Source organism: Homo sapiens, chromosome 15, assembly GCF_000001405.40.
Source record: "Homo sapiens chromosome 15, GRCh38.p14 Primary Assembly".
Classification (NCBI taxonomy): Eukaryota; Metazoa; Chordata; class Mammalia; order Primates; family Hominidae; genus Homo; species Homo sapiens.
Genome location: NC_000015.10, coordinates 62,055,239 through 62,075,873, shown reverse-complemented (window position 1 = coordinate 62,075,873; position 20,635 = coordinate 62,055,239). Strand labels below are relative to the sequence as shown.

Sequence of the window (20,635 nt, the reverse complement as noted above, 5' to 3'; positions counted from 1 at the left end):
TTGACTCTCACAAAATTTGATCCTGCTGTATGATAGATCTCTTTATCTGTTTTTTTTTTTTTTTTTTTTTTTTTTGGCAGAGTCTCGCTCTGTTGCACAGGCTGGAGTGCAGTAGCGCGATCTTGGCTCACTGCTACCTCCGCCTCCTGGGCTCAAGTTATTTTCCTGCCTCAGCCTCCTGAGAAGCTGGGACTACAGACACATGCAAGCCACAATGCCCGGTTAATTTTTGTGTTTTTAGTAGAGACAGGGTTTCACCATGTTGGCCACACTGGTCTCAATCTCCTGACCTCGTGATCCACCCGCCTCGGCCTCCCAAAGTGCTAGGATTACCGACGTGAGGCACCGTGCCCGGCCTATCTGTATTGGTTTTAAATGGCTAAATTAATGAGTTTTGGAAAGAAACACAGTAACTCTTACTGAACACTAAAGCTGTGGAATCATCGCTGAATATTTAAAAATCTTGATGTTCCAGGTTTCTTTAATGGACCCGCATATTTTCTGAATATCTTATACCAAGATAATGATGATTACATTACATCGAAATTCGAACGTACAGTTTCTATTGAATACATATCGCTTGCTCACCATTGTGAAGTCAAAGAATTGTTAAGTAGAACAATTTTAAGTCGGGGACCGTCTGTATATATTTCCTTCAAAAGTTCCTTATTGTGCAAGTGTTGGTGAGGGTGTTGAGCAACCAGAACTCTTACACCTTGTTGGTAAGAAAGTAAAATGACACAACCACTCTGGAAAAGAGTATGTCAGTTTCTTAGAAAGTTAAATATACAGCTACCATATAATGATCCAGCTGTTCCACTCTAGGTATTTACCCAAGAGGAATGAAATCATACAACCATGCAAAGTCTTGTACATGAATTTTTGTAGCAGTTTTATTCATAAAAGCTTGAAATTGGACATAATCTAAATATCTATTAGCAGGAGAATGGATACTGATTCTGGAAGCCTAACTTCCCAAATGGGGTCAGCCTCCCTTTAAGCTTGTCTCATAATGAACTCCACCATATAAAGAGCTTGAAAGTTGTCATTCCCATTCTTACAATAAGAAAACAAAAATGAACAAACTAAAAATTCATAATTTTTCTTAGACCTATCAGAGATTAGATGTAGCAAGGCAAACCACTACCCTGAAATCTGGAGGAACAAGCTGACATGGAGAGTCAAGCCAAGATCAGCTTACCTGGAGCAGAAGCTACTGGAGCCATAAACTAATGGGAATACTAAATGGTTATTTTGACAAATTCCTGGAGGCTGAGTATGGACTAATGTGAGCATGAGATACTCCTGCGATCCACAGTCTTGGGGTTGGGGGAAGGGTGTTGTAGGTGGCGCACTTTCATGGGTTATTCCCAGAAGCCCCACCAGGTTCTCATGGTGAAGAGCTAAGAGAAAACTTAGCAGTAATCATTTTGAAATACTCTCAAAGCATTTTTCCATAACAAAAATCTACTCTTCTTGAGAAAAGGACCTTACCAGAGTCTTATGAGCTTAGGAGAGGGGCAATTCCTCAACTTGAGCCCTGCTAGCCTTCCCATCTCACCTGGAGAAAAAAGGCTAAGAAACATTTGTGAAGGTCTCAACCCAAGGACAATGGTCCACTAGTAGACTGAGATTTAATCATAGAGTTATAGACTGCTTTCCTTTCCCAACATTTACCACCATATCAACAGGGGTCAGGACATCAGTGGATAACAGCTGAAAGAGTTTCAAGGCAGATGCTTTATGTAAGAAGGTGCTCTTAGGGATACTCAAGACAGCAGAGGAGATAAAAACATGGACATTAAGGGAAACTGGCCGCAGATACTTACAGCTATAGCAAAGAGCAACCACAGCATAACTCCTCCAGATAAACATAAAGCCTCACACTATTTACCTCAGTTCCTAGTATCTGATTATTCATGCCCAGCTTTCAATAAGGCACACTAGGAGACAAGATAAAAACGATCTGAAGAGACAAAGCAAGAGAACCAGACTCAGATACGACACAGGTTTTAGAACTGTCCGACCAGGAATTTAAAATAACTATAATTAATACGTTGAGGGCTAGAATGGGAAAAGCAGACAACATGCAAGAACATGTGGGCAATGTAAACAGAGACAGGAAAACCTAAAAAATGAATCAAAAGGAAATGTTGAAAATTTAAAATGGCTTCATTAATAGATTGGACATGGCCAAGGAAATAACCAATGAACTTGGAGACATGTCCATAGAAATTTCCCAAACTGCAATGCAAAGAGAAAAAAAAAGAGCAGAATATCCAAGACTGTGTGATGATTCCAAAAGATGTAACATATGAGTGATTGAGAGGAAAAGAAAGAGAGAATGAAGCAAATGAAGTAAAAATGGATGAAAGTTTTTCCAAATGAATGACAGACACCAAAGAACAGATAAATTAAATAAATTACAATGTGTTAAGGGAAGGGAGGGAGGAATTGGGAATACCCTATTATAATATAGCTACCTGCCCATGAAGCAGTATATAGTGCAGGGGTACCCAATCTTTTGACATGGGCCACATTAGAAGAAGAATGTCTTGGGCCCCACAAAAAATATACTAACAATAGCTGATGAGCTAAAAAAAAAAAGCAAAAAAAAAATCGTATAATGTTTTAAGAAAGTTTACAAATTTGTGTTGGGCCGTATTCAAAGCCATCCTGGGCCGCATGCCGTCCACGGACTGCAGATTGGACAAGCTTGGTATAGTGTTAGTTGAAAGGGATTTAGATTACTTGCAAATGCATAATGCAAACACTAGGGCAAACACTAAAGAAATTTTAAAAAGAACTATGATTGATATGCTAAGAAAGAGGATAAAGTAAAATCCTATGAAATGTTCAATTAAAACCAGAGAAATCAGAAAAAGAGGAGAAGGGAAAAAAGAAACAAATAATGAGTGCAAGGAAAACAGTTACAGATAAAGGGATAAAATAATTGGGGTTTAGACATTTGATAGTCATCCAGTCAGCAATATAAAGAATGAACTATTGATATAGGCAACAACATGGATATATCTCAATAATGCTGAGTGAAAGGAGCCAGATTCCCCCAAAAAGAATATATACTTAATTTTTCCATGTATATAAAATTCTACAGATTGAACTAATCTACAGTAATAGAAGGCAGAATCAGTAGGGCTATGGAGAATTCTTAGCTAAGAATTTTATTATGGGCTTATAATGTCTATGACATTAATTTGATGGGATTTTGCTACGTGAATGTACAGAATAGTAAAACTTGGGTTTCAAAACACCATGGGCTGTCGTGCATCTGTTTTTTCTGTGAACTCAAAAGCCTGGAGGCAGAACAGTTTCTTAAATGCCATGGTTAAACTAAGTGCTGGGGATGGATATGGGGAGAATGTGAATTGTTGAGGTGTGTATAAAAGAAAATCAGATTCAAAGAAATTATCATCTGGGAATATTTGAGCCATACTGAAGCTAGCATTTTAGGTTAGAATACATTATCTTTGTAAAACCAGCTGACAATGCAGTGTTAAAATTTTTACTCAACTGATGCTATTTAAACCGGCATATTCTGTTTATTGTGTAGGGCTTTTCTTTGAATATGTTCAAAGAAAAGATATTTAAACCACAAAGAAGCAAGATCATGCCATATCATTTATGGAGAAGATGTGAGTACTAAAGCTTGATGAGAAGAAACATGAGAACTATTAAAAGCAGTTTTCTGTAACCAACATGCTATTGCCACACACTCCCAACTTCATTATTAAAGGAAAAAGTTTTCCCCTCTTTATTTAAATCTAAAATATTTTTGCCACCTTGTGCTCTCAGATAGGTGTATTAAGTTACTTTGCAATGTGAATCTTCACTACAATCTAATATTAGCAAAGGTCTTCAAGAAAATAGGGTCCTGGCATTAGATTGACCTTTAGTTGAAATGGTCTAATATCTAATAATAGGGGTAGAGCCAATTGACAAAACACTTGAGGGATCCACTAGAGGGCAGTAAAGTGTAAATGAAATTTAAATTTGCCCCAGAAAGGCTAATGTTATCCCAAACATTTGTATTGCAAGTAAGATTTCTTGAATGCAAAAACATTAGATTAGATTAGTGATGTACAGTGTTTCTCTTTTCCTGGAATTAGTAGTCAAAGAGCCATTAGATTGAAGAGCAAAATGAAAATCAAATTGGTTCTAGTCTCAGCTCTTTTTACTGACTGTGTGATTTGGGGCAATCTAAAATTTGCTTCTCTGGTCCACTTCTATGATATAGATTTGCACAAAATGATTATTTTTAAATATTTACTTATTTATTTGTTTATTTATTTATTGAGACAGTTTCGCTTTGTTGTCCAGGCTGGGGTGCAGTGGCGCGATCTTGGCTCACTGCAACCTCCACCTCCTGGGTTCAAGTGATTCTCCTGCTTCAGCCTCCCGAGTAGCTGGGATTACAGGTGTGCACCACCACACCCGGCTAATTTTTTTGCATTTTTAGTAGAGACAGGGTTTCACTATGTTGGTCAGGCTGGTCTCAAACTCTTGACCTTGTGATCGGCCTGCCTCGGCCTCCCAAAGTGCTGGGATTACAGGCATGAGCCACCGCACCCGGCACAAAATGATTATTAAAGTTCTTTTCAACTCTAAAATTTTATGATTTTATCATTTATGATTCTATCTCAGCCCCTTTAAAACCTTTTTGATTAGACTCAGGTTATTTGATCAACCATAACTTGCCATTAATGGTGATTCTGTTTGGAAATCACCACCACTATTTCATAAAAAATTTAGATCCCTCAAATGCACTGATTTACTTTCACGAAAAAAAATCTACTTAATAAAATGACATGTATATAATCTAGTGACAACAGTTATTGCAACATCTTCTGGAATAAAAACTTGGGCTATTGAAACTATCAATGCCATTTTTTATTTTAAAAACAGAAAAATTAAAACCCACAATTATACGTAGCCAAGTTGTTTTCACTCTCCATTTATTTTCCTTTTAAAGTGCTACATTTGTGAACTCATTAGCAGTTACCCTATCAAAATTTCAAAATCATGAAGAAGGTTATACATAAAAAATGAATGTTGGCTTGAGGGCCAAGGAAATATTGACTGATTAGATAGAAGAGCACATGATAGATCTGAACTACTCTATGTCATCATTCATTTGGTCAACAACTGCAAGCTCCTGGATGTGGCTGATTTTGATAAAGTCATAGAATTCACAGTATTCTTCACATTTGTTCAATGGTCATCATAAATACACATCACAATAACCCTAATTTGTGACTGAAACAGAAACTCTTTTCTTTTTTCTTCGAATTTTGTATAATATTTATTTTATCAAACTCTTTTCTAAATAGCATTTTTAATGAACATGAATGTATAAAACTGTGAACAATTTTAATAAAAGCAGAAACTGGTCGGGCATGGTGGCTCACGCCTATAATCCTAGCACTTTGAGAAGCCAAAGCGGGATGACAGCTTGTGTCAGGAGGTAGAGGCTGCAGTGAGCTATGATCACACCACTGCACTCCAGCCTGGGTGACAGAGTGACGCCTTGTTTCTAAAAGATAAAATGAAATAAAATAAAGCAGAAACCATTTCTGAATCCAGATTGATAATGGAGTCATATTTAACACCATCCTGTATATTTAAATATTTTCAATTTTTTAAACCCTCATTTAGGATGCATTTTCCTATTTGCATAAAAAAAAGAAAAAAATGCCCTGCTGGCAGTGAATTCAAGGGATGAGGGAAAATCGTCCTCTAAAACAGGATTGTTAAATCTGGAATTATTATCAGAAGCCAGAGGTAAAACCATGCTATCTGTACACTCTCCACTGCCTGTTCCAGCAGATAAACTCACCTGGTTACAACAAGGCTGGCACCCATTTCTATGATTCTGAGGCCGGTTAGCTTCCTCCTCAGAGCTTTAGACCCATCAGCTCATCTCAATGCCTGAAGTTATTAGCATGAGATAATAAATTATTCATTTCAAGCAATTTGTTTTTTCACCAAAAGCAGGATGAGGAATACAAGTAGACACGAACTTCAGTGTCAACAGTTTCAGAGAGAAGTTGCACAATACTCGCAACTTTAATAGCGAGCCCTTTAGACACTGTGGTATTACCTACATAAGAGTAATGAGTGAAATGCTGATTGTCTAGGTTCAAATTCTGGCTCTGCTCTTTATTCTGTGCCTCAATATCCTCATCTGTAAAATGGGCATAGCAGTGCCTCCTTTTGGGGGTTAAAACATAAATTAACGCTTGTAAAACTATTTATTATTATTATTATTATTTGCAGACAGGGTCTCACTCCGGTTGCCCAGGTTGGAGTGCAGTGGCACGATCTCGGCTCACTGCAGCCTTGACCTCCCAGGCTCAAGTGATCCTTGCGCCTCAGCCCCAGAGTAGCTGGAACTACAGGTGCGTGCCACCACGTCCGGCTAAATTTTGTATTTTTTATGGAGACGCGGTCTTCCCATGTTGCCCAGCCTGGTCTCAAATTCCTGGGCTCAAGCCATCTGCCCGCCTCGGCCTCCCAAAGTGCCAGGATTACAGGCGTGAGCCGCCACACCTAGCCTATTATAACTATTATTTAAGCTTAGAATATTAAAATGGTTTCATTTTCTCCAATGCTTTTCCAGTGAGATATAGCTAGGAGTATCAGGCTGGCGTTCCAACTAATAATTCACTGTTGATCTTGGACAAGTCACTTCACCTCTTTTGCCCTCATTTTCTTATCCGGGGTCTTAAACAAAATGCTTCAAAAGTAAATGCTCCAAGATGGTCTCCATGCATGTTGTGGAAAGCACCAATTTTAAAATGAGGTGATTGGAGCAAACAGATCGCCAAGACACTTTCTAGTTCTAACACTTCATGTGATTCATTATTTCCTAGGCGTGTGTGGTACATATGGTATGCAAATGGCTGTCTATATTGGGAAACACTGTAGAACCATTCCATTTGCTGAAAAAAATTCTGGAGGTATCTATGGAAAATATCATATCTTTTACTGGGATAGTTAATCTAGAATCATCTCTGCCAGTGTTGTACTGAAACGGGACTGATAAGAACAACAAATACACGTTTATTTTGTACCACGCGGCTGTCAGTGTCCGGAGTCCCCCGGGCAGAGCGCCCCGGGGAGGGCTGGGCCCTCAGAGCAGCAGGAGGGCGCCCAGGGACAGCTCACCCTGGCCCAGCAGGCGGCCCCGCTCCCGGCCGCGGCCCTCGTCCCGGGCCTTGACTCGAACGGCCAGGCGGCGCACTTCGTCCTCCGAGAGGCCGTCGAAGCAGAAGTCCTGGTCAAAGGAGGCCTTGCGGCTGCGCCCCACCACAGTGCTGCATTGCCGAAGCGCGGTGCCCGGCGGCCGCAGGACGAGGCTGAGGCGACAGCTGACGGCTCGGGGCCCGGGGGCGCCTCCGGCCGGGCTCTCGGCGCGGAGCAGCCGGAGGCGGAGCCGCCCGGTTCCCGGACAGTACTCGGCGGCCAGGCGCAGGGCGTCGCCGGCGCGGCCCAGAGCCACGGTGCCCTCGGCCTCCAGGCGCTCGGGAAACGGGACCCGGGACGACGGCGGGCTCGTGGAGGGGGCCCGGGCCGGGGACTGGGAGCCCGCGCGGCGCTCCTTGTCCTCGTTCCCGCTGGAGACGGAGCGGACGCGGGTCAGGCGGCGACTCCTCCCAGCCCGCAGCGCGCGACTCAGCAGCCCGTCGGGGACGCGCAGGAGGCGGCAGCCGCGGGGCCGCCGGGCGAGCGCGTCCTGGGGCGGGCGGGGACAGCCGGGGGCCGCGGGGGTCGCCGGGCCCGGAGCTCGCGGGACGCGCAGGGTCCCCAGGAGGGCGTCCGGGCCGCCGCCGCCGCCGTAGGTGTGGGCCCGGGGCCGGGGCGCGGGCGGGCCCCCGAGCAGGAGCGACTCCTTGCGGCGCGTGTGCGGGCTCTCGAGCAGCGCGCAGAAGCCGTAGGCGGTGCGCACACGGGGCAGGTGCGGCAGTGACAGCGCGGCCTGCGAGCGCGGGTCCCAGTCTGTGCGGCCGGCGCCCTCGTCCATCCCTGCTTCTTCGACCCAAGAATTCCGGAGCGCAGCCAAGGCCAGGCGGGGCATGAGCCGTGGCGGGATGCAGAACTCAGGGATGCGGTCCGGAGTGAGCACATTTGCGCACGCGGCGGTGGTGCGAGACTTGGCTCCGCGGGCCCGACCCGGGAGAAGCCAGTCTCCGCTCCGCCGAAGGCACTCAGGACCCAAGCGGAGTCGCTCCAGGCACCACATCTGGCCACTCTCTGCTGGAGCTTGTCTACCTGCAGTGCACAAAGGCACAAGGATCGTCAGAGCGAGTCCCGCAAGGTGCAGTAAATCCTGTTCCTTTTCTCCTATTAATACTTTCGGGGTGTTTCTTCCTGCCTTTCCCGAAACAAGGCAAACTGCTCTTGCTTGCCGCTATTGCAAACTATTTTTTCAGTGAGCGAAAAACAACTGTTTTTCTTTTGTCCTATCTCAACTGTGTTGTAATACACACTTCGGAGCTTGTTTTAATCCCTCTCCGCCCTGGCTGGCCTAAGGCAGAGATTCACAAAATGCTGGATTGTAACTTCAGTCGCTCTGTTCTCTGTGCCAACGATTGCCTTGCAATCGTTTCCTGACTCTTTGGACCATAGCAGTCTAGTCCTCAGCTAGAATTAAAGTAATTGTTATTCCTTCCGGGAAACTGTGGCTGGTTCTCCCCTTGCAGAGGCAAAGAGCCTCAGACGAATCCCCCAGGGAATTAAGCAAGCCGATGGGTCCCTCCTAAAATACCTGGAGTCCTGCGTCAGATGGGTCTCTGCACCTTTCTGCCTGGGACACCGACCAGGAGAGGCGCTTAGCGGCTGGGAAATTCAAAGCGCGCGCGGCGGGGTTCAGCACCAGTGTTCAAGGACTGCCAGCCTGAGCTTTTATACCTGCCGCTGGGAGCGCTTGCCAGTGGGCCGAGCAGAGGGGCGCTGCCTGGTAACCTGACGCCAGGCTCTTCCCTGTCCCTCTGCCACGTGGCTGGATTTGCTGAGCAAGGTTTGGAGACCCAGTTCTTTCTCTCTCCGGCTTCAGGTGGAGGTGTTTTCCTCGGAAACCCCGAACAAGTTTCTGTTTCCTCACATGCAAAATGGTATTAAGTCTCTACTATACCGCAGAGTCATTGTGAGGATCGACGGGCGTAATGAATGTGAGCACGTAGAAGTACTCTACATTCACCATTAAAATGAAGACAAGTCCGGTTTGTCTTATTCTTGCCTAATACCCTTCCCCAAATCCAGCTTCCCAGTTGCCCAGCTTTCGAAGTTCTTTACTTGCTTTCCGGTTTTCAGTTCTGATTTTAGATGTTCTTTTCTGATTATAAACCCCTCTGGGTTAGGGGGAACATTTCATGTCTTGATCAGGGTGGAGTTACAGAGGTGTATCCATATGTAAAAACAATCAACTAGTGTACACTTAAGATTAGAGTACTTTATTGTATGTTATACATCAATTTAAAAAATCACAATCTACTTCTTAAGCCATGTGTGCTGATTTTTTATCGGGAAAATGTACACTTGCATGCATCTGGGCAGTTGGAATCATCCTTTGGAGGCGCCCTGACTACATCTGGCCTTTCTAGGCTGTGCCCACCAGAGAGACCCTTTTCCTTCCTTTTGAAAACTAACCTGTGTTCATTTTGTAAGAGAGTTGCTTCCAGTTAGCTCAGGCTGAAAGAGATCTGAGGCATTTTGTTCAGCGTTCAGGCAGATATTTCTGCCTAAGATACTGCCTTGCAAACTATTCACTTGTCTAAATAATATTTAATGAATTAAATTGAATTCATGCAAAAATGATTTCAGGATAGGGCATGTGCATTTTGTTTCCAGGACACACAGGCACTGTGCTAGATGATTTACATATAGTCTGTAGAACTGTCACAGAAACCCTGCATATTCGGATCATCCTTATTTTATAGATGAAAACTCAGTTTCAGAGGTCAAGTATCTTATCCAAGGTCACATAATGATGGGAAATGGAGGAAATCATACCTACTAATGGGTATAAATGAGCTGTTTGGGGAAATAATAATGTAAAATATTTTGCACCATGTAACATGGTAAGTGCTAAATACATAGAACTGATTATTATTAATAAAGATAGAAGGAAAGTTGTAAAGTATAGTGGTTAAGAAAATTGGGTCTGAAATTGGATCTACTGTTAATGCCAGAATGGTTGCTATGTGACCTTGAGCAAGTTAACTGTTCTAAGCCACAGTATCAAATTTAAAATTAATAATAGTGTCAACCTATACGGTTATCATGAGTATAAAGTAAGATGGTGAATATGAAGAGTTCAGCATAGGGCATGACATACACAATGTCGGATATAATATTATTATTACAGAAGAGAGCAAATGCTCATTAGTTCATTCATTCAAAGTAACATGTACTGAATGTTTTCTAGGTTCCAGCCATCATGTTAGGCAAGTGGATACAGGTTGGCTGTACAAGATCATATCAGCTATGTAAATCCATAAATGATGGAGTAAAATGATGAGGATAAACTATTTGAATTCCATCTGGGTGAGGCAGGCGTGAGAAGAGACTACCGAACATTATTTATTTAGTTATTTATTTTTAAGACAGGGTCTTACTCTCTTGCCCAGGCTGGAGTGCAGTGGTACAATCTTGGCTCACTGCAACCTCTGCTTTCTAGGCTCAAGCAATCCTCCAACCTCAGCCTCCCAAGTAGCTGAGACTACAGGCATGAGCCACCAGGCCCGACTAACTTTTTTTTTTTTTTGGAGAGATGGAGTTTCAACATGTTGACCAGGCTGGTCTTGAACTCCTGGGCTCAAAGTGATCCGCCCACCTCAGCCTCCCAAAGTGCTAGGACTATAGGTGTGAGCCACTGTACCTGGCCTGAACATTACTTATATGTTTCTAGTAGGGGGCAGGATTGGTGGGTCTCTGGATTTACTGTGTCCTTGAATAGCTATTTTTTTTTTTTTTTTTTGAGACAGGGGCTCACTCTGATGCCCAGGCTGGAGTGCAGTGGTGCAATCAAGGGCACTTCAACCTCAACTTCTCAGGCTCAGGTGATTTTCCCATGTCCCCCTCCTGAGTAGCTGGGACTACAGGCATGCACCACTACCTGGCTAATTTTTATATTTTTTATAGACATGGGATTTTGCCATGTTGCCCAGGCTGGTCTCAAACTCCTGGGCTCAAGAGATCCCCCAGCCTCGGCTTCCCAAAGTGTTGGGATTACAGGTGCGAGCCACTAAGCCCAGCCTACTTCTTTGTCTTGAAATCACCTCTACTCTTTGCCAAAATTCTTGGGCCAGGGCTAAATCTATGGGAAAAGTTTTATCAAATTATATACTTGAGGGCCATGTGCATGTGTTCTGACTCAGCTTTTCCTGGGAGACAAGAATGTTGTTAGCCCTGTTGAGAGCTCTTGGTTAAAGTGATTAGGAGCACAGATCAGAGTTTACAGTCTGAGAAGTTGGCTGAAAAGTTGTTAAGCAAGTTAATGAACCTGTCTGAGCTCAAGTTATAAAATGAGGGTAATAATACCGACCACATTAAGATTGTTGTGGGGGTTAAAAAGATATGCATGAAAATGCTTGGTTGGCAGTTAAACACTAGCTAACAGTTATTATTATTACTATCATTTTATTATGAATGTTTGCTTGGGCAGGGATTAGCTGATTCATACATGGATTCCTTTAAAAACATTTTTCTCCTCAGGCAAGCAAAGCAGATCTACTTTGTTTTTATTAATGATTCACCTTCTTTAGTAACACCTTAATAGCATTTCCTGTACATGATTTTTTGAAAATAGCAGAGATTTGCCATTGCGTGGCTGGTCCCTGTGACCCTGTTAAGCCTTATGTTTTACTTAACTCGGAAGCACGAACCAACCACCCAGTACTTGGGAGAATGGTGTAACAGGGTGCCCGGAACACACAAATCTACTCACAGGAAGACAGTGGCTGTTCCAAGCTCCCAGCTGTAGCTGTGGGAACATCCAGTATTGGAGCTGGAAAACAATTCTGTAAAGTGAGCATGAATAGACCACATACCATCAAGACCAGAGGTGCTCTAAGAGTAAAAGGAAATTAAACATTTTAAAGCATACTTACAAAAATATAGGAGGTTGAGTGTCAAGGAAAGCAAGAAGAGAGATTACAACCAATAAAACACCAGTGTTCTGACTTATGCATCTTGTTCAACACAACTAGAGTATGGGGTACTGGAAAGAATACAGAGCAGGGAGTCAGGACACTTGGGTTTGGGTTTTTGCTCTGACAGTCACTAACTTGTGGGACTTTGGGCAAACCCTTAATTCTCCCTGGCACTCAGTGTCTCCATCTGTCAATTGAGGGGGCTGGATTAACAGGATGATCCTCCCTCTGGCACTAACATTCTGAAATCCACTCCCGTGCTTTCTCCTAGTTAACCTCCCTAACTTTTCCTGCAGTCCATGGTGTCATGGCTTATACTCCAGCTTTCTCCTCCATTTCCTTTCCCCCAAATTCCTTCTGCTTTTCTCCAAAAACTCTAGGGTTGGGGAATAGGGTATGGGTGGTGGTTAGTGTGAAGTTTTTTTTTTTTTTTTAAACACTTTTGAGTTAATTTTTAAGTGTCCCTAACTTATACTTTTGTTTTTAACAGAAATACTTTGCTCATCTGTTTTTATTGTTTAGTCCCTCATTGAAGTTTAGTTTTGTAATTTCCTTTGTTGTCATTCTCATTGTTCTTAAGCCAGAATGAAGGCAAGAACTATAATTAATTAGAATGCTCATTTTCTTTAACCTCTGTTATCCAAATTATTTCTGATATAATGCCATACATAAGGGTGCTAATGGTGTTTCTTGACATTGGTTATAGTTTGTTTTAAATTGGGACTGTATATTTCTGACTTGTTAAATAATGGAAGATTTGGGGCATTACTGAATGCACATAATCAATCCCTTAAAACATGCTGAAAATGGAAAATAGTAAAATTTAAAGCTTTTTATACTACATGATAATAGCATTTTTTTGTACCAAAAATGTAGAGCCAAATTTTCCACTCTGAGATTTATTTTTTCTGTCATGAACCTTTCAAAGTAAGATCTCTGAAAATGACTAATAGCCCAGTGTTGATTAAATTGTATAATTACCAGAAGAGAAAAGGGTGGCAGTGCTCAGAGAATCAAAGGAAATTAATATCTGCTGTGTGACTTTGGGTAAGTCACTTAACATTCCCGAGCTTAATTTTTCTGTAAAATGAGGACCATACTACTACCTGCATTAGCTACCTCACAGCTCTTTTGTGAGGAGTACACAAAAATGCCTACCTTCGCATAATAATGACATGAGGCCTTACAAAGTATAACTGAAACATAATAAAATTGAATGATGCATATGAAAGCACATTTACACATTATTCTTTCAAAATTACCAAGTTATACCATAGAACTGTAAGGAATTACTTTATTAGACAAAGCATTAGTGTTACTCACTTCTCCCAAGAGATTGTGCCTATTGCTCCACCTGCTTGACCAAGCTATGTTGCCTGTGCCATCTTTCCTATCATCTTATACTGTTATTCATACATCCTTGGATTGGCTTCTTTCTTAACTTTTTATGGTACATGCCTTATCTCAACCAGAACATATATTGCTTCTTTACATTCCTCTTGGAGCATAGTCAGTGTGAATGTAAAAAGGAAGCGGGATTGTTAGAGTGTATGACTAGAAAGAACGTGGAGAAAGTTTGAAGAGAGTGTTCTAAACACTGGGAAGTTATTGGATGTTTTTGAGCAGGTGACTAACCTAAGCTCACCTGTGCTTTGGGAAAACACATCCGGTGTTCATGAGAATAGACTGGAGGAAGGAATAACTGGAGGCTAGGAAGTGAATTTCAAGGAGATGGATGGCATGGTCCAGAAGAAAAACATGGAGAATTTAGGAAAGATGGCAAAAGCAAAATAGACAGGTTAGGCTGTTATTTGGTTGTGGATGGTGAAGAAATCCAAAGTACTTACTAGTATTTTGTCTTTGTGACCAGCTAGGAAAAACAGACGGTTAAGGATTTATCTTCTTAAAGAGGAATGGAGTGTGCAAAAGTGGGAGAGGAATGTGATCTTGATAGTACTAGTTAGTACTGACTGGGTCTTTCTTTGTACTTTTAATTTTATTTAATACACAACACCAATTGTAGCCATTTTGATTTTCTTTCTTCTCCAGCGGACTTTGAATTTAAGATTTTTCTTTGTGATCCTGTGCAAGCCTAGGTTGTTTAAGAAAAATACACGAATAGTTTCTCAGACACTTCCTCGTAGCAAAGCACTTATTAATGCTTGTGACTACAAATAATCAGCATTTCTTAGGTTTCTTCCTGTGTACTGTATCTCAACAACTTTTTGAAATATATTTTAGGAAAAAATTTCTAGTTCTCTAAAGAGGTGAATCTCAATGGGTGGTTAAATTTCACAAGGGTTGAAAGATCTTGTGGTATAAAAGCTCTGCTTTTAAGGTCGTGCTACATCAAAGACAGTTCAACGATAGCATGGAAGAAAGTGATATATAAATAACAAGTAACTCATACTTAAAAAGGCACTACTACGTTTTGTTTTTTATATCTGTAATGAGATAGGTAACTGGTTAGTGGCTAGTGAATTAAAAGCGAATCTTAGAGAAAGGGGAAAAGAACGCGTTTCCCACAAAACGCGTATATTCAGTTCTCATTCTATGATATCTGCCATTTGATGTGGTTCTGTTCCCCTCCTCCCACTTTCAAATTATTTGTCGCGCGCCAGTGGTCCCAGCTACTCGGGAGGCTGACACAGGAGGATCTCTTGAGTCCAGGATGTCAAGTCTGTAGTGAGCTATGATCCCGACACTGCATTCTACCCTTGGCAACAGAGCGAGACCCTGTCTCAAAACAAAACAAAACAGAAACAAAATAAAAAAACAATGTTTTCAAGAAGCAGAGACCAAGCCCCAGGCGGAGTCGAACTCTAGCAGGACAAGAACGCGGTCGGTCCCTTTCCCCCACCTGATCCACAGGTGCAGGGGTGGTTGCCTAGGTGACGCTCAGCGCATACTCCAGGCCAGGCGGCTCCGGACACCGCGATGCGGCCGGAGTTCAACAGCAGGTGACGGCGGGAAAGCAGAGCGGCCACATAGATGTCCCTGTACTCGGTAACTCTTGCCCTCCCTTGTTCTTCTCGAAGGTCCTTTTTTTTCTCGTGCACGGCTGACGAGACAGGCGCAAGCTAACTTCCCCCGCACTCCTCCGTCGGCCTCTAGAGGGCCAGGGCTGCGGCGCCTACAAAGCCTCGGGATCACAGCTGGGCCTCCTTAGCTACCGGCCGGGCGACAGCGCGCCTGCGCACCGGCGGGGTCACGCGCGCGGCGCGGGGGTGGGCCTGCGCCGGAGGGGCTGTCATTTGCAGCGCTGGTCGCAGCCCTCAGCTGCGCCGGGCGGTTCCGGCTCCTCCCTCTCCTTGTGCCTCAGCGCCACCATGGTGCTGGAGTCGGTGGTCGCGGACTTGCTGAACCGCTTCCTGGGGGACTATGTGGAGAACCTGAACAAGTCCCAGCTGAAGCTGGGCATCTGGGGCGGTAAGCGAGAGGGCGCGGCCAGTGGGCTGCGGGCGCTGAGGGCCCAGCCGAGGGCTGCTCCGTCCGGGATTCTGCCCGGGCCCTGCTCCCTGCGCCGCCTGAGACTCCCCATCCCGGTGCGGCAGGTGCTAGATGCGGGAGCCTCTGCCGCCCGCGGATTCTCGGGGTCCCAGTCCCGACTCCGGCTGGGGAGATGCGGCGGGATCCCGCCCGCGCTGCCAAAGTTCCCACCTTTCTCGTCCCCCGAGGCCAAGCCCTGGCCCTGCTGTCCCCGCCCTGCCCGTTTCTGTGGTCCTCTCGCTGCACTCAGGGTGGCCCCTTTGGCCCTACAGCATAAAAACAGAGCCCTTTCTGTTTCGGTATCGCGTGGAGTGAGCATGGTTGTCTGGTCATATACGCTCGAAGTGGCACTAAGAAAAAAGGAGGAAGTTGCATCTCGCAGTTATCTTCACTATCATTTTACAGGGAGCAAGAACTGGGTTCCTTCTCTTTAGGATTACCGGGTTTGGAGAGGAACGGGCAGGAGATCTTTAAGATAGGCGTGTGCTTAGGGATTCTTACTCTTAATGCTTTCAGCTCCTGTGAAAATGATTTCTTCCTTTAATATTTACTTTTCCGTCAATACGAAGAGGATTTTGAATTTTGTTTTGGAGCAATAGAGAGAAATTCAAGCCTCGACCAGCATCGTCATTAATTAGGTGTCTGCTTGGTTGCATGCTCAGGAATTTATGCCAACGTTTTTATCCTGGAGATTAAGTGTATAAAAGTATTCAGGAAATAGTGTACTTAAACATACACTCTTCAACGAGCTTAATCGTTTGCATGAATTACGTGTTAAGCTTTGAGGACTTTGGGACTTTCTCACTCCACAAAAGGTTTGGGAACTTTGTCAGCTTTGGAGGAAAATTCAAAAAACGACTCAAATGTATGGATCTGCTTTTAATTCAAGCAACAACAAATAGCTATAGACTTCCCCTGTCCACTAGGGTAACCACTAGCCACTGTAGCTGTGGAGCACTTGATATGAGGTTAGTGCTAATTGAGACTTGCTGTATGAATTAAAACATCGTTTTGAATAAGCATTACTCCTAATGAAGTAGGAGAAAAAAATAATACCTCAATAATTTTTATGTTGCTTATGTGTTGAAATAATATTTGAATATATTGGGTTAAATTAAATATAATATTAAAGTGTATTTCCCGTGTTTTTTAGTTTTACTTTTTTTCTTTTTAAACTTGGCTTCTAAAATTTATAATTACGTATATGGAACATATATTGGGCAATGCTGTTTATACCCTGAATTACGGAAGAGCCTGGTTGTTGTTGTTGTTGTTTTTTTTTTTTGGCTTGTCTTTTTGAGACAAGGACTTGCTCTGTTGCCAAGGCTGGAGTGCAGTGGCAAGATCGTAGCTCATTGCAGCCTCCAACTCCTGGGCTGAAGTGATCCTCCTGCCTCAGCCTCCCAAAGTGCTAGGATTACAGGTGTGAGCTATAGTGCCTGGCAAGAGCCTGTTTTTAATAGGTGGCTGATCATTTGATTGGTTCACTGTGGTTTGCCCAACAATACAATAGTCCCTTGGTATCTATGGGGGATTGGCTTCAGTACCCCTGACCATACCAAAATTGGAGGTTGCTCAAGTCCCTTAAATAAAATGGCCTAGTATTTGTATGTACCCTATGCATATCCTTCTGTATACTTTTGGTCATCTCTGGATTGCTTATAATACCCAATAAGTAAGTGCTATGTAAATAGTTGTTCTGTTGTTTTTTAATTTGCATTTTTTTATTGCTGAATTGATACTTTTTATTTTTTCCCCCCGAAATATTTTTGGTCTGCAGTTAGTTCAGTCCGTGAATATGGAGGGCCTACTGTACATTCTTTGTTTACATCCCCCCACCACACTCAATACAATGTAAAGGAAAGGTAAGTAAAGAAAGACACATTTAAGGAATTAAATGACCAGCATCTTCTGCAGAAATCAAGTATTTCTTCAGAATACTGGCAATATTCTTTCCAGTGATTCCTTATAGTTTGTAAACATTTGAAACTTGAAAACGCACCGGAGTAGCAAATCTGAAATCTGAATAGGCCTAGTGAATGGTGTGCTGTGTTGGACAAGCCACTTACCTTATTGGGCCTTAGTTTCTTCATCTTAATTTAAACTTTATAGAAAAAATATTTTTAAATTCTGAAAAGTTTAAATCATACTGGATGATATAATACTTTCATGTAATTACTCATATTTCAATGTTATAATATTATGCCATATTTACTTTAGACATTTTCTTTTTAAAAAGATAAAACGTATGGATATAGTCAGAGGTTCCATTGCCATCAAATGTTACTCTCTTTTATCTTTAAAATTGGAGGTTGGACTAGGTAACATCGAAGGTGATGCCAATATTCTGTTCTTCTGATAATGGTTTTACCATGACATTGAGGAGTATACTGCTTGAAGATTTTGAAGTTTTTCACAACTGAAATTAAAAATGTCGTAATTTTATGTTATTTCCCCTTTTGTCTTTTTTTGGTGAAATCTAGAAAAGGAGACTTTCTTTCATCTCATTTTTAAATTTTTAGAATAAGGTATTCTGCCAGTGGCCAACATTAACTTTATAATAGGCCTGAGCAAATAAACCCATTTCTTTCACATATTGTGTCTAGTGAACATCCAATCAGGGATTCTCCTAGCTTTATCAGCTCACAACTCTGCCTCTGTAAAGCTTTGCTGCCTTTTATTTTTGTGGTTGCTATAAAGCTAGAAGTCACGAGCTTTTATCATTATTGCACAGTCTGTTGTTGATAACCCTAATTTCTCAATAAAATTGGAAGGCAAGATATCTGAGTTGATTTTTCCTGTTCTTTCAAAATATTGCTAAAGAAATTTGTCTTAAACTTTTTTGGGTAAACAAATGGGAATATTAATTTAATAAAATAGGTGACATTTTATGATAACCATGATGTTGACAAGTTTTACAAAAAATTGAAAATTCTATATAATCTTCTTTGACAACTATTTGCTTTAGCAGATAAGGTTTACAGTTCACAGAGTTTTTTTTTTGTTGTTGTTGTTGAATTTTCAAGTCTTGAGAAAGGGAAGAATTCATCTTGTAAATATTTCACTGTAGGGACCAGCCCCACAGGGTCGGTGGGTCTCTCCCTGTGTGCGGCGACGAGAGAGTGTAGAAATAAAGACACAAGACAAAGAGATAAAAGAAAAGACAGCTGGGCCCGGGGGACCGCTACCACCAATGCGCGGAGACCGGTAGTGGCCCCGAATGTCTGGCTGCGCTGTTATTTATTGGATACAAAGCAAAAGGGGCAGGGTAAAGAGTGTGGGTCATCTCCAATGATAGGTAAGGTCACGTGGGTCACGTGTCCACAGGACAGGGGGCCCTTCCCTGCCTGGCAGCCGAGGCAGAGAGAGAGAGGAGACAGAGAGAAAGATAGCTTATGCCGTTATTTCTGCATATCAGAGACTTTTACTACTTTCACTAATTGACTACTGCTATCTAGAAGGCAGAGCCAGGTGTACAGGATGGAACATGAAGGCGGACTAGGAGCGTGACCACTGAAGCACAGCATCACAGGGAGACGGTTAGGCCTCCGGATAACTGCGGGCAAGCCTGACTGATGTCAGGCCCTCCACAAGAGGTGGAGGAGCAGAGTCTTATCTAAACTCCCCCGGGGAAAGGGAGCCTCCCTTCCCTGGTCTGCTAAGTCGCGGGTGTTTTTCCTTGACACTTTTCGCTACCGCTAGACCACCTTCCGCTCGGCAACGGGCGTCTTCCTAGATGCTGGCGTTACCGCTAGACCAAGGAGCCCTTCTGCTGGCCCTGTCCGGGCATAACAGAAGGCTCGCACTCTTGTCTTCTGGTCACACCTCACTATGTCCCCTCAGCTCCTATCTCTGTATGGCCTGGTTTTTCCTAGGTTATGATTGTACAGCGAGGATTATTATAATATTGGGATAAAGAGTAATTACTGCAAACTAATGATTAATGATATTCATATATCTCTAAGATCTATATGGTATAACTATTCTTGTTTTATATTTTATTATACTGGAACAGCTCGTGTCCTTGGTCTCTTGCCTTGGCGCCTGGGTGGCTTGCCGCCCACCTCACATACCTGATCTTACTATTCTTTGGAATCAATTGATAAACTACTTTGATACATCTTAACTGGAATGTCTAACTAGCCTAAAGCAGTGATTTTCAGTGGGAGGTGACTTTGTACCCAGGGTATATTTGACAGTGTCTGAGACTTTTTGGTTGCCACACTGAGGGAAGAGGTGTGCTATTGGCATGTAGCAGATAGACCCTGGAGTACTGCTAAACATTCTACAATGCAGAGGACAACTTCCTGCAGCGAATTGTCCAGCTCAAAATGTTAGTTGAGAAACCCTAGTCTAAGAAGAAGACTGAGATTGTCTTCTGCATTTGTAAGGGACCTACTGGGTGCTGAAAAAATTGTAAGGTTTTAAAAAGGACACGGAAGAAGTAGATTACTCTTAACGAAATCTGTAATTCGAGAGAGAAATTGATATCTTAAGTGACTGAAAGGTATCATGTCAATAAAAATGCGTAATCTTTGCTTGGATGATCTTTGGAAGTAGTTTTAAGATCGAAATATTGTGTTAACATGATTTGGAAAACATCATAGTGTGCATATATTCATATATGTATATATAGGCGTTCATAATGAAATTTACAATTAAAAAAGGTTGAGAGGCCAGGCACCGTGGCTCACACCTGTAATCCCAGCACTTTGGGAGGCCGAGGCAGGCAGATCACGAGGTCAGGAGATCGAGACCATCCTGGCTAACACAGTGAAACCCCGTCTCCACTAAAAAAAAAAAAAAAAAAATACAAAAAATTAGCCGGGCATGGGGGCAGGCGCCTGTAGTCCCAGTTACTCTGGAGGCTGAGGCAGGAGAATGGTGTGAACCTGGGCGGCAGAGGTTGCAGTGAGCAGAGATTGCACCGCTGCACTCCAGCCTAGGTGACAGAGCGAGACTCCCGTCTCAAAAAA

The 20,635-nt window shown here is 42.8% G+C and overlaps 2 protein-coding genes and 1 long non-coding RNA gene across 11 annotated transcripts in view, besides 8 other annotated features; 1 reads left to right on the top strand and 2 right to left on the bottom strand.

Annotated features, from left to right (window-relative positions):
• Window positions 1-4,956: 4,956 nt before the first annotated feature.
• On the bottom strand, window positions 4,957-8,897 carry C2CD4A (C2 calcium dependent domain containing 4A). Its single transcript, NM_207322.3, has 2 exons — window positions 8,786-8,897; window positions 4,957-8,289 (listed from the first exon to the last, which is right to left on the bottom strand). Exon 2 carries the CDS (start codon window positions 8,258-8,260, stop codon window positions 7,151-7,153), a length of 1,110 nt encoding a protein of 369 aa, NP_997205.2. The 5' UTR covers window positions 8,261-8,289; window positions 8,786-8,897; the 3' UTR covers window positions 4,957-7,150.
• Window positions 7,068-7,557: a silencer, noted in NCBI's record as "silent region_6505". NCBI's record gives its function as "represses an Ori minimal core promoter by ATAC-STARR-seq in GM12878 lymphoblastoid cells {active_cell/tissue: GM12878}" and the evidence as "EXISTENCE:reporter gene assay evidence [ECO:0000049][PMID:35858748]".
• Window positions 7,608-7,747: a silencer, noted in NCBI's record as "silent region_6504". NCBI's record gives its function as "represses an Ori minimal core promoter by ATAC-STARR-seq in GM12878 lymphoblastoid cells {active_cell/tissue: GM12878}" and the evidence as "EXISTENCE:reporter gene assay evidence [ECO:0000049][PMID:35858748]".
• Window positions 7,878-7,927: a silencer, noted in NCBI's record as "silent region_6503". NCBI's record gives its function as "represses an Ori minimal core promoter by ATAC-STARR-seq in GM12878 lymphoblastoid cells {active_cell/tissue: GM12878}" and the evidence as "EXISTENCE:reporter gene assay evidence [ECO:0000049][PMID:35858748]".
• Window positions 8,158-8,673: an enhancer, noted in NCBI's record as "H3K4me1 hESC enhancer chr15:62359400-62359915 (GRCh37/hg19 assembly coordinates)". NCBI's record gives its function as "activates a minimal SCP1, AML or CMV promoter by ChIP-STARR-seq in naive H9 embryonic stem cells {active_cell/tissue: H9 hESC(naive)}" and the evidence as "EXISTENCE:reporter gene assay evidence [ECO:0000049][PMID:30033119]".
• Window positions 8,790-9,084: a silencer, noted in NCBI's record as "tiled region #14002; HepG2 Repressive DNase unmatched - State 4:PromP". NCBI's record gives its function as "represses a minimal TATA promoter and a strong SV40 promoter by Sharpr-MPRA in HepG2 cells {active_cell/tissue: HepG2}" and the evidence as "EXISTENCE:reporter gene assay evidence [ECO:0000049][PMID:27701403]".
• Window positions 9,074-9,243: an enhancer, noted in NCBI's record as "active region_9521". NCBI's record gives its function as "activates an Ori minimal core promoter by ATAC-STARR-seq in GM12878 lymphoblastoid cells {active_cell/tissue: GM12878}" and the evidence as "EXISTENCE:reporter gene assay evidence [ECO:0000049][PMID:35858748]".
• Window positions 13,440-15,371, bottom strand: VPS13C-DT (VPS13C divergent transcript). The gene is made up of 2 exons (NR_135690.1): window positions 15,031-15,371; window positions 13,440-14,906 (listed from the first exon to the last, which is right to left on the bottom strand). It is a non-coding gene; the product is annotated as a VPS13C divergent transcript (long non-coding RNA).
• Window positions 15,116-15,165: an enhancer, noted in NCBI's record as "active region_9520". NCBI's record gives its function as "activates an Ori minimal core promoter by ATAC-STARR-seq in GM12878 lymphoblastoid cells {active_cell/tissue: GM12878}" and the evidence as "EXISTENCE:reporter gene assay evidence [ECO:0000049][PMID:35858748]".
• Window positions 15,216-15,565: a silencer, noted in NCBI's record as "silent region_6502". NCBI's record gives its function as "represses an Ori minimal core promoter by ATAC-STARR-seq in GM12878 lymphoblastoid cells {active_cell/tissue: GM12878}" and the evidence as "EXISTENCE:reporter gene assay evidence [ECO:0000049][PMID:35858748]".
• Window positions 15,427-20,635, top strand: part of VPS13C (vacuolar protein sorting 13 homolog C) — a 208,059-nt gene continuing 202,850 nt past the window's right edge. For all 9 annotated transcript variants that reach the window (XR_007064464.1, NM_017684.5, NM_020821.3 and 6 more), the window contains exon 1: window positions 15,427-15,599. Coding sequence is in view for 8 of the 9 variants with exons in the window: in NM_017684.5 (NP_060154.3) it covers window positions 15,500-15,599 (100 nt within the window). In the remaining variant the exon portion in view is untranslated. The remainder of the gene's footprint in view (window positions 15,600-20,635) is intronic.